This window comes from Homo sapiens, chromosome 2 (genome assembly GCF_000001405.40).
Source record: "Homo sapiens chromosome 2, GRCh38.p14 Primary Assembly".
Lineage (NCBI taxonomy): Eukaryota > Metazoa > Chordata > Mammalia > Primates > Hominidae > Homo > Homo sapiens.
Genome location: NC_000002.12, coordinates 143,320,446 through 143,333,761, shown reverse-complemented (window position 1 = coordinate 143,333,761; position 13,316 = coordinate 143,320,446). Strand labels below are relative to the sequence as shown.

The 13,316-nt window shown below is 36.9% G+C and overlaps 1 protein-coding gene across 11 annotated transcripts in view; it reads right to left on the bottom strand.

Moving 5' to 3' along the window:
• Positions 1–13,316, bottom strand: part of ARHGAP15 (Rho GTPase activating protein 15) — a 638,934-nt gene that overhangs the window by 434,591 nt on the left and 191,027 nt on the right. The gene's annotated exons all lie outside the window — the stretch shown is intronic.

The window sequence follows — 13,316 nt, the reverse complement described above, 5'->3', positions numbered from 1 at the left end:
CTGTGCCTAATGCTATAACATTGCAGCAGTTTGTTCAAAGCAACACTCTTATTTTTGCTCTTAGCCGGTGCTATACAAACCCTGATCAATTATTGAAGTAGAAGCCCCGAAGTAACACAGCCATTACTGCAGGAGGCAGATAAAAATGGAACACTTTGAGCTACAGTATATTTACTTTTGAGTTTCAGCAAACAAACCAACAAGTTAAACTACTTTGTCTTTCACTTTGTTTGATGTACTAGTATTTCCTGCTTTCTCCAAAAGCCGTTTTCTTCATAAAGCAGGTCTCTGAAAATTCGTTTCTTTTTGGAATTGTGGTAACCTTAACATTTATGCAAAAGAGTACTGCAACTCGGACAAGAAGGGCTCGAATGAGTTACATAGACATGGCATGCCAAGAGCTGCATGGCATTTGATAAAGTTCACCGACGTGTCATCTTCATATGGTAATAACACTGCAAAGAGTCCACAGTGATATTTAAAACAACAGTCTAACTGAGGAAAGTATTCATTAAAGCCTTTCAGAAAAGTCATATTAGAGGTGGAGAAAATTTCTCATGAAGAGCAACTGCTAATCACATTTGGAATTTTTCTCTCTCTCCTGCTTACTCCATTATTCACAAAGGATTGCCCAAGATGTTGTAATTTTATTTTTTAAACTGCTCGTTATTTAATTATATAGAATATGTCTGGTCAGGTTGCCAGTGAAGGCTACAAGCATTCATCTTCTGACGATGCCAACTTGCATCTGCAGCCTCAATATAATGGTAGCTTTTTTTTTTTTTTTTCATTTTAAATGTCTGTTCTGGGTTTTAAGGACTAAATGACAGTGAAGATAACTGGAAATATTCCAAGGTTTTTATACGTACTATGCAGTTGAAACAAAAATTAGTAGTTATACTCCAGAACTAATAATATTTGACACTTATTCTTATCATTGCCTGAAGTTTGGGTAGAGAGTTCCAGCAAGTTTCTGAAAAGTAGCTAAGACAATGTAAGGAACTGTTTTGAAGTGTTATGTATCTGCATCCCACTCAGAGCTCTTCTTTTCCAGCCAAGCAAATAAAAGCAATCGGCGTAACCTCTAAGCACCAAAGGTGAGCAGATTATGAAAAACACTTTCATGAATTCATAAGTATGTCATCAAAGCCACTTGAAGCACTTTGATATTTGAATAGAAAAGCCGTGAAGAAAAAAGCCACATGCATTGGGAAGCTTTCATAATTTAGGATAGTTTATTTCAATGTCTTGTTATGAAGTGATATTCATCTTTTCCCTCATATACTCTTCATTTGTGAATAGGCCTATTAGATACAATATAAAGCATAAAAGATCTCAACTGAAAAATACAACAGATGAAGATCTTATTAAGCATTTTTTAAAAATATGAGGATGTCTGTACTTCTAGTATTATGAAAGGCAGTTATATCTCACCATCGAGACGACCCCAGGAAGACTGTTTTGTAAAATTTCAGGCTGCCTTTAGTGGGTAGGCAATAATGTGATATTTTATTATTAGTTCCCTTTCCTTCTACTCATTTCAAAGAGAAGAAATAATGTATTTGTATAACCAGTTCCCAGGACATCAATTTCTTTGTTTGAATTGATACCATGATCTAATTATTGTACAAATAGGTGAAAGGAAGGGTACAATTTTATTTACGTAATAGGTTGACCGAAAGAGAGATGGACCACTTATGACTCAAACATCTGCATTATTATTTTCTAGGGTTTTGTGGCAGGTACCACATGAAAATTAGCTAGAAGGACAAGAAACAATTTGAAAAAAGGCACAGAAAGAACTCTAGAAATGTATGCTTTGTAAAACAGTTCTTTAACATGGCTCTGGATAGTAGAAACAAGCTGACTAAATTTATGAGGTGTGAAGCTTACGTCTTATAAGATGTAATAATGATTAACATTAGAATCACAAGTTAAACCTGAGGTCAGGCTTAAGAAATGATATTAACCCTACCTCTACTGCTAAAATATCCAGCCATTTCTCTTTACCTCAGAAGAAAATCTTAGCCTTTCTAAAGTAGCTACATGTTTCAATTTTTTTCTCATGTACCTCTTAAGAGCACTTTGTTGTTTTCATAACAATATTTCTTTTGGAAAGAGATATATGAAAGCAGATGTGTCTATATAATCCTTGCTGCTAAAATCTGACTGCTAAAATTTTCATTATTCACTCATGCATTCATAGATTTCTTTTCAAAGGATAACATCAAAATCACTTTATTGAATGATAGTTACTCATTATGTGCTCTGCTGGATTTTAACAAAACAAATCATGTACCAGACACTGTTCCTGCTCTGAAAAGTGGACAGTCTAGTAAAGGAGACAGAAATAAACAAATATGTATAGTTAAGTACCAGCATAAAGTTATATAGGTCTATGGTACACTATTGACCTAAAGATGGCATGCTTTTTTTTATAAAAAGTTGGGATGGGAAGAAGAGCGATCGGAGCAAGGAAAGCTTCACAAAAGGGATCTTAAAGGCAATCAGTGTATAATGTCCAGAAGAATAGAAAATAATGAAAAATATATTGCTAAAATGTAGTTCCCAGGGGGAAAAATATATGTTTGTTATGTATTATAATAAAGTAAAAGACAACTCTGGTTTATGTGTGGGCTCATAGTTGGGAAACTCCTTCATTCACATCTGATCTTCCTAGCCACCTCTTGCTGCAGGTATGACTTCTGTCCTTTTGAAGCTGAAATAAATGATTTATGATCAACTCAAAGGTCCATATTAAATGAAGGGCCCAACGAGGACCATCAGCTTACAACTCAAACCAAAGAAATGATCTTTAGAGAGAAAGCGACAATGGTTCAGTAATATTTACTTCAACATCCTTCATAAGGAAATCTAAAGAGCATGCATATAATGTAGGTTATTTATGTTTAATGTGCAAATAAGTACTTTCCCTATGGACATCCACATTGATCTGGGGACATTGACAGTTACCAAACATATTACTTTAGAAATGGAAAATTACAACTCATCCTGTGTATATTTATTGCCTAGAGGAGTTTTCCAATATATCACTGATGGAGAAATGAAACCTTAAGGACAAACTGAATTAGAAATCATAATTCCATTTGGGTAATATGTTGAAATTGCATAAACCATGTAGCAATATTGTGTATGTGCTACTTCAAAACTCTGAAGGCCTGATTCACTAGGTTTCTTTGCCTTTATACAATGTTCTCAAGAGACTGAAAAATATAGATTTTATTCATCTGTAAAGTGACAGGGACTTAGGAATCATACATGGCTACTTATGAAATCTTATAAACTTAACACAAATTACTATGGGTATTTTATGTATTTGTCTTATACAGTGCCACTTGAGAAATTTGTTTCTATTATGCAAGTTTGTTTTGTATATTAAAATTTGATGGGAAAATGTTAGGATAGTTAAAAGTTATATCTACAAAATTTTTTAGGCAGAATGTTGAAATATTAACATTACACCATATTATTTATATTTTACAGATCCCTTAGGCCAATTTTCACTTAAACTCTTCTGTCTTGCTTTTGACAAATAAACACTAAACATTGAAGTTAATGCCAATTTTCCCCCTGAAATTATTAATCATTAGTTTAGTTTTTTGTTTTTGGTTTTTTTTTTTTTTTTTTTTTTTTTTTTTTTTTTTTTGAGACAGAGCCTTGCTCTGTCACCCAGGCTGCTGGAGTGTAGTGGTGCAATCTAGGCTCACTGCAACCTCTGCCTCCTGGGCTCAAGCGATTCTCCTGCTTCAGGCTCCTGAGTAGCTGGGACTACAGCTGTGTGCCACCATGCTTGGCTAATTTTTTTTTTTTTTTGTAGTGATGGGGGTTGGAGGGCAGGGGGGCAATTTTCTTAAAAATATGTTCTCTCATAACTTTTGTAGAGTGGCTCCACAGCTTCAATGAAAGTTTTGCAATTAAAACTCTAAGTTAGTGATGCTACTGCTGAACTACGGAGGGGGGTGTGTATGTGCAAATATGTATAAATTACATGTGTATGTGTATATAATTTCTACATAAATTGACAAGTTTTATAGTGCATTGGATATAACTTTACGTACTAGTTGTCTGTGGCTGTGTAACAAATTGCCACCAATTTAACAGCTCAAAACACAGTATTTCTTATTTCACAGTTTCCATGGGTTAGAAGTCTGTGCACAGATGAGCTGGGTCCTCTCTTTGAGATCTCACAGGTTGTAACCAAGGTGTCAGATGGGGTTACTGTATCTTCTGAGGCTTTGGGGTCCTCTTTCAAGCTCATATGCTTCTTGGCAGAATTCACCTCCTGTGGTTTTGAGGCTGAGGCCCTCACCTCCCAGAGGCCACCCCTCTCCATACTCAGAACATAATGTGGCTGTTTTCTGATTTGAGGCCAGTAGAAGATTGTCTCTCACATCTAGACTCGCTTTCAAAGAACTTACATGATGAAATGAGGCCCACTCAGGATCATCTCCTTTTTGAGTAAATTCAGCTGCTTTGGGACCTTAACTGCATTTTCAAAATTCATTCACCATTGCCATAAAATGTAACCAAATCCATCATCTTTGCCGTATAATGTAACCTAGTCACAGACATAAGACCAGGGAACAGAGATCATGGAGGCACTGTTAGAATTCACCTGCCACACCTTACTTGAGCATAGTAAAGTTACTGCTTTAACACTTGTGAGGGCAAGGTTGTATCATTGAGAAATCAAGGAGAACATTAGAGAATATAAATGTACAAGTTGCTTTCATTTTGTCACTTTTTAAAAAACTTAATTTTTGTGGGTACCACAGTAGGTGTGTATATTTATGGGATACATGAGATATTTTGATACAGGCATGTAATGCATAACAATCACATCAGGGTAAACACAGTATCCTTTACCTCAAGCATTTATCATTTCTTTGTGTTACAAATATTCCAATTATACTATTTTAGTGATTTTAAAATGTACAATAAATTATTGTTGACTATAGTCAGCTGGTTGTGCTATGAAGTAGTAGTTTTTATTCATCCTATTTTTTTATTATACTTTAAGTTCTGGGATACACGTGCAGAATGTGCAGGTTTGTTATATAGCTACACATGTGCCATGGTGGTTTGCTGCACCCATCAACTCGTCACATACATTAGGTATTTCTCCTAATGCTATCCCTCCCCTACTCCCCTACCCCCTGACAGGCTCTGGTGTGTGATGTTCCCCTCCCTGTGTCCATGTGTTCTCATTGTTCAAGTCCCACTTATGAGAACATGCAGTGTTTGGTTTTTCTCTTCCTGTGTTAGTTTGCTGAGAATGATGGTTTCCAGCTTCATCCATGTCCCTGCAGAGGACATGAACTCCTTTTTTATGGTGGCATAGTATTCCATGGTGTATATGTGCCACATTTTCTTTATCCAGTCTATCATTAATGGACATTTGGGTTGGTTCCAAGTCTTTGCTATCATGAACAGTGCTGCGATAAACATACATGTGCATGTGTCTTTATAGAATGATTTATAATTAATTGGGTATATACTCAGTAATGGGATTGCTAGGTCAAATGGTATTTCTGGTTCTAGATCCTTGAGGAATCTTCACACTGTCTTCCACAATGGTTGAACTAGTTTACACTCCCACCAATAGTGTAAAAGTGTTCCTTTTTCTCCACATCCTCTCCAGCATCTGTTGTTTCCTGACTTAATGACTGCTATTCTAACTGGTGTGAGATGGTATCTCATTGTGGTTTTGATTTGCATTTCTCTAATGACCAGTGATTATGAGTTTTTCATATGTTTTTTGGCCACATAAATGTCTTCTTTTGAGAAGTGTCTGTTCACATCCTTTGCTCACTTTTTGGATTTTTTTTTTTTGTCTTGTAAATTTGTTTAAGTTCTTTGTAGATTCTGGGTATTAGCCCTTTGTCAGATGGATAGATTGCAAAACTTGTCTCCCATTCTGTAGTTTGCCTCTTCACTCTGACGATAGTTTCTTTTGCCATGCAGAAGCTCTTTAATTAGATCACATTTGTGAATTTTGGCTTTTGTTGCCATTGCTTTTGGTGTTTTAGTCATGAAGTCTTTGCCCATGCCTATGTCCTGCATGGTATTGCCTAGGTTTTCTTCTAGGGTTTTTATGGTTTTAGGTCTTATGTTAAGTCTTTAATCCATCTTGAGTAATTTTTGTATAAGGTGTAGGGAAGGGGTCCTCTGTTATGTTCCATTGGTCTATGTATCTGTTTTGGTACCAGTACCAAGCTGTTTTGTTAACTGTAGCCTTGTAGTATAGTTTGAAGTCAGGTAGTGTGATGCCTCCGGCTTTATTCTTTTTACTTAGGATTGTCTTGGCTATACAGGCTCTTTTTTGGTTCCATATGAAATTTAAAGTAGTTTTTTCTAATTCTGTGATGAAAGTCAATGGTAGCTTGATAGGAATAGCATTGAATCCATAAATTACTTTGGGCCGTACAGCAATTTTCACGATATTGATTCTTCCTATCCATGAGCATGGAATGTTTTTCCATTTGTTTGTGTCCTCACAGTGGTTTATAGTTCTCCTTGAAGAGCTCCTTCATATCCATTGTAAGTGGTATTCCTACTAGGTATTTTATTATCTTTGTAGCAATTGTGAATGGGAGTTCACTCATGATTTAGCTCTCTATTATTGGTGTATGAGAATGCTTGTGATCTTTGCACACTGACTTTGTATCCTGAGACTTTGCTCAAGTTGCTTATCAGCTTAAGGAGATTTTTGGTTGAGATGATGGGGTTTTCTAAATATACAATCATGTCATCTGCAAACAGAGACAATCTGACTTCCTTTCTTCCTATTTGAATTTCCTTTCTTTCTTTCTCTTGCCTGATTACCCTGGCCCAGAACTTCCAGCACTATGTTGAATAGGAGTGGTGGAGAGAGGGCATCCTTGTCTTGTGCCAGTTTTCAAAGGGAATGCTTCCAGCTTTTGCCCATTCAGTATGATATTGGCTGTGGGCTTGTCATAAATAGCTCTTATTTTGAGATAAGACCCATCAATACCTAGTTTATTGAGACTTTGTAGCATGAAGGAGTGTTGCTTTCATTTAAATATCACAGGGTAGAAAAGTCAGGAATGCATACACTCAGAAATAATATTGGAAAATAGTGTGTAATTAAATGTCAAAATGAGTGGCATGTACAGTAACTCAGAAAATTGGTCACTTGAAATGAGTTAATTGTTGGAGAAGTCACTATTAAAGAAGAGATTTAGGCTGGTTCCTAAAAGATACAAAAGACTCAGTGAATGAACAAGGACTTTAGCTGATAAAGCCGTTTATCATTCTTTCTCAATAGTGCTGTGTAGAGCCAGGCAGACATGAGTTTGAATTCCAGCTCTGTCAGTAAGTAGCAGTGTGACTTTTGGTAAGTTATTTGAACTCTCTGAACTTCCATTTTGTCACTTAGAACAAAAGGAGTAAAAGCAACTACTTCATAAGTGTTGCTCAGATAATAGTAAATCAAATGTTGTTGTTTACTCACAGGATTACTGGAAAGAATATATAACAACATATTAAATGAGAAAAGGGCTTTGAAAATAATAAAGTACCATAAAAATGTAGGTCACTCATAGCATAAGTTCCCCAGTGACGTTTTTCTGTTTGGTTAAGTATCTCTAATCTATTGCCTTATTGTATTTGATATAATAAACATGTAAGCAATTTTAGGATCAATCTGAAACAAGGAAGTTTAGAAATAGACAAATACAGCAAATAATAAAATTAGCCTTTCAACTGAGACCCTATAATTTACCACCACAAAGTGCAAAATAGTGTGGAATTTTCGGGGACCATGAAGATCAGTGTGGGCAATATTTAGGGAAAGGATTTACTTTTGTTTCCTTTTTTACTTGTCATCATTCTTCCTGGTGATTATTTCTGGCATATAATAAATAGTAGATGTAATAAACTTTCATTGAATAAGTGCATTATAGATGGAAATCAAGTATTTAAATAATGAAAGTATAACCAACATAGAAGCACTGTTCATTACAAATGTACATTCCATGGAAAGAGAGGCTTAGAGTGATTTTTTCTGAAGTATACAACAGCTCAAGGTCCCCAAATAAAGGACTTAATGTCTCTAAGTAATTAACTTGGTTTGTAAGCTCCCAAAAGTTTTAATTCATGTTTTGTATTTTTTTGGAAAAGGAGAACAACCAAAATAAAAACGAGGTTTCCTCCTTGAATTTCAAATATTTTCCGTTTGATAATCATTGCAAGGAAGGTGACTAGGGAGGACTCTGGGAATATTTATTGAATTGTGAAAGAAGAAATCTGACAAACAATATACTTAATCATTTTCCATTTATCATCATCATCCTGTGACAGGATATAAAAACAATTGTACTAAAATGAGGTGTTTTGTTGAGGAGGAGGCTCTAGAGTATTAAAAAAGAGGATTTATATTTAAGTAAATAAAATTTTGCTGGAACCAGAAATTGAAGAGTATTTGAAGAAATGCTCTGAACTATGGTAACTGATTATTCTTCATTTATAATGTCTGTTTCAAGCTGTCTTGAACATACGGTCCAAGAAATTTTGAGTCAAGACAATACACAGCTAGGGAAATACAGTAACTTTTAAGTTAACTACATATGAAATGAATTTTCAGAGTTGTCTAGGCAAACTCAAAATGGTGTATGTTTAGCTGGCTTTCCTCTTTGATAGTTATATCTCTGAAAAAAATTGTGATTCATAAGAAATAATAAAACCTTGAGATTGACTAGTAAGTGTTCTTCTCCAGCCATGACTTGTGACCTATTGTGCACATGCTAGAGAATGAATCTAATTTTGAATATTCATTATAATCATGTTTTTTAAAAAATACATTTTAATGTCGCATAGAAACAAAAGCTGTTCACGGGCCACAGCCTAGTCACTTAGGTTTACCACAGAGTGATGAAAATTCATCAAAATGTCAAGAGATCTGTATTTACCAAGTTTGATGAAGAAAATCTGACAAATACTATTTAAGATAAGTGGCATTTTTTCCTAATTGTTTTCATATGGATGAATGAAAATCAAGTGCCGTGTTACTTTGATGAAATGCTAAATTGCTTAAAAATTCATATTTACACAACGGACCAGCATACAAAATCTGAACGTAAGATTATGGCTTGAAAACCAATGTACAGATTTTTCCCAGCTAACCCTGTACGTTCAAGTACAGAAATGAAAGTACTAGTGAATGCTTAAATTTGAACAAATTCATTTCTACTCTGCCTTCATTTCCTCACTAAAATACGGTGCAAATAAATATTAGGTTACAAACTAATAAGTATTTCTTCCACGGAAAATATGTCAGACTTTCTATGTTGGTGGCAGCCCACCAAACAGACATACAAGTCATTTTTAGCATGTAATTCACCTCAGGAATTAAGAACGCAAACACCAAAAGAAAACCATTGACTATTTTTCCAGTCCACATAGAATATGCTATAATTCTAAGGAACAGGAAGAAAATGTTAGAAAAACAAAATGTAAAAAAAATATTAACCTTAGTGGATGTTATAACTAAGGAAAGAAATGATTACATACGAATCTTTGTTCTCCTTGTAGTTTTGTGTGTGGGTATGTTCCTATGTATGTGGGTGCATTTATAATGCAATTTTAAACCAAAATACCATAGACTGAACTAAAACTAGTAAGTAGTAGAGTTGACATTTGAAGCCCAGATCCATGAGATGGGATAGCACATGGCCTCAACTTCTTCATGCTTACATCTCTTCAGATAGTTTTTCCAAAGCTAATTATAAAGCATTTTAAGGAAATCCTAATGTTTGAAATTCACTGATACATGGCCCGTTGTCTGCCTATTTAGGTGTTTTTTTTTTTTTTTTTTTTTTTTTTTTTGAGACGGAGTCTTGCTCTGTCACCCAGGCTGGAGTGCAGTGGTGCGATCTCGGCTCACTCTGCAAGCTCCGCTTCCCGGGTTCACACCATTCTCTGGCCTCAGCCTCCCGAGTAGGAGTAGCTGAGACTACAGGTGTCCGCCACAACGCCCGGCTGATTTTTTTTGTATTTTTAGTAGAGACAGGGTTTCACCGTGGTCTCGGATCTCCTGACCTCATGATCCACCCGCCTCAGCCTCCCACAGTGCTGGGATTACAGGCGTGAACCACCACACCCAGCCTAGATTTCTTTTTAATTAGAAAATATAATAAAACAGAATGGGCCACTGAATCATTTTTGAGGTAAGACTGATTTTTCAATGTTGAAGTAAATTTCCTCACACTTTCAGACGTTTCATCCCTGTCCGAAGTGTTTATAGTTTTGTGTGCTAAGTAAAGGTGATCATCAAGTCCAAGTCAATTCCCACATTCATAGACTTCTTAAGCCATCTTTGGGCAATGCACATATCCAGCTTCATCAGATCCTAAAGATTCCTGAAGAAAGCTACTTTTATGACCTCATTCATTACCCATTTCCACTGATTTTGGTGAGCAATCCACTGTTTCAAAACAAAAAGCATGTTCACTATTTGTGTGATGGGTTCACTAGAAGCCCAAATCTCAGCATTACATAATATACCCATGTAACAAACCTGTACGTGTTCCTTCTCAATCTGTGAAACACTCTCACACATAACATAAACGTAGCTTATCTACATTTTCTAAATAAAAACAATTTATGCAAGGAGGCACAAAGTAAAAAGTACACTGAAAAACATACATCAACCCAAGAGAGTCCTAGGCAAACTGGAAGCTTTGGTCAAGGGAGGGACAGATGGATACAAGCTTTTAACTATTCAGCACCAAACTTTATTTCCAAAGTCACCTAATTTTCATTAGTCTAAGACAGACAACCAGTTGGTTGATAATTAAAAGTACAAACATTAAAAGATAAGGAATTAAGTTCATATCATTGCAAATGGAATAGTGTTGCTTACTTACAACATTAAACCTTCACCTTAGCCATTCTCCCAGTTATCAGGACAAACATTTCACTCATGAATTCCTCCTCCTTCTCTAATCCAGTACCACATCGAAGCATCATGCAACTCAGACGGGAAGTAAACAAACAATTCAGTAACAGCAATAATTAGGCTAGATCCTGAGGTCATTCTATCCACGGTAATGCTGACTTTTGGTTTTTCCCATCAGGCAACAGTTTAAAATGGAAAACTTCAAAACTTATTTAAGCCTCAAAATTCTAACTAAAGGAAAATGTTTAATTTTGTGGTTACTTGCTATTATTAAGAATATCCCTTTTGTTGTTATTACATTATTGTATTTCTACATTTAGTAGGAAATCCATCATGGCATTTTAGATTAACTATCATTGTTCTATTATTTCTGTGCCATTCATTTCACAAGCTACTTACGGTGGGCTCTAGAGAGTTACCGAGAAGGTAGCCCACTCTCTGATTAAACTTTTTAATTATGAATAAAAGTAACACCTTAAATAGTAAATGTATTAGCTTATTTATGCTAAGAAAGCAGCCCCTTCTACTTAGATCACGGATTTTCTTGGCAAATCAACATAGTATCTCCTAAGTGCCATCAGTCAGCCTGACAGAAACAAACTGCTTAGGAGTCCAGCCACTGAGAGTGCTCAACTCTGATACAGATCTGCAGTTGGGCGTGGCAGGGAGTGGTTGAGCGGCCTCATTGGAACTGTTCCAAAAACAGTAGAAATAAAGAACACTGGGTATGTGCAGGAGAGAGAAATTTTAAAAGGCATAGAATCCAGGAAAGATGAAAATTAGCAAGAAAAGAAGTAATCATCTAGATAGAGTGATTATTATTAGAGCTTGTATCTACTTACGGAGGTTATCAGCAAGTCCCCTACGACTCCATTAGGAAGATAATTGTGGCCAAGGCAGGAGGATTGCTTGAGGCCAAGGCTTCAAGACCAGCATGGGCAACATAGAGACCTGTCTCCACAAAAATGTAGCAGGGTGTGTACCCGGTGGTCCCAGCTACTTCTGAGGCTGAGGTGGGAGGTGGCTTGAGCCCAGAAGATTGAGGGTGCAGAGAGCTGTGACAGTGCCATTACACTCCAAAGTGGGTGACAGAGCAAGACCTTGTCTCAAAAACAAAACTAAAGAATTGTAATAGATGTCTCTCTCTAGCTAACTTGCACTCCTTCCTTGGAGGAAGTACTCTCAGATTATGGGGCCCAGGCCCTTCTCCATGTCTGGCAGAGGATCTCAGTCCAGAAGAAAATTTTATTTCTCTGCTCATAGTTATTGGTTCAGGGAAGGGCAGGTGACCACGGCAAGGCCAGTGAACAGCCCTCTTAGGACTTTCCCCCGGAAGTTACCAGAAGTAAGCACTCTCTCCTATTAGCTGATTGCCTGAGTGCTAAGGAGGAGCACATTTGTGTGAACCGACTATGAGAGCAAAACTGTTTATAAATAAAACCAGTGGACAAGAGGAGAGCAAAGGGACTTAAGTCAGTTTATTCCCTTTTATGCTTCCACAAGTTTGAGTTGAGCTTTTGTCACTTGCAATATAAAAGGTCCTATACTTTCCATGACCTAACATTGGACTGGGGCAGTTACCATGTGTTTATATGTTTTGTATACACTTGAGTGTGCTTGTTCTAGTTCTCTGAGGCCTTTTTCCTCTTTTCCACATTCACACGATCTTCATTCTGAAACTGTGCTCTTCCCCTGTGAAAATGCTCAGGATACCAGGAAAATGGTAGTGGGCCCTGAGAGCCAGGGTAGGCATCCAGGCATCCAGGGGTACCCATGACTATCCAAGGGCCGTGGCTGTGAATCCCCCCATAGGAAGTGGAGGCTGTTAGGCCCCGGGCAAAAGCCTGGTGCTGGCTGCAAGGTGGTGTTACAGCTAGGAACAGCTGTACCTAAGTACAGAAATCTAGTCTCACCAGGTACATCTGTTGTTACCTGATAGAGTCACATTGCTGCAGAGCACGCAAAGCTCTGCAGCAATATGAATCTTAAAAAGTCACTTTTTATTTAAAACCTCATCCTGTTCACTTTAGGGCTTTAAAAACCCAATCCATTAACCTCCCTCTCTAACCCACCAGGGGACGCAACTATCCAATACAAAGAACATGCAGTTACCCTATTTTTGCTGGGAGAATTTTCCCAAGCTTCCCTGTCTAGTCTCATTTTTAACTCTTTGCTATGATCTTTTCTCCCGGAGCAGCATCTTGTTGATTCATCCCTGAATTCCCCCTTTGCTTAGCCCAGTTAGATTGTAGCGTCCCGCTTTGCTTAGCCCAGTTAGATTCTAGGGTCTTCTTACTGCTTTCTCTCAATTATAGTCAAGTGACTTGCAGCATATGTTTGCCCCAAATTTCTGGGCCCTGGGTGAATGCTGTGCAAA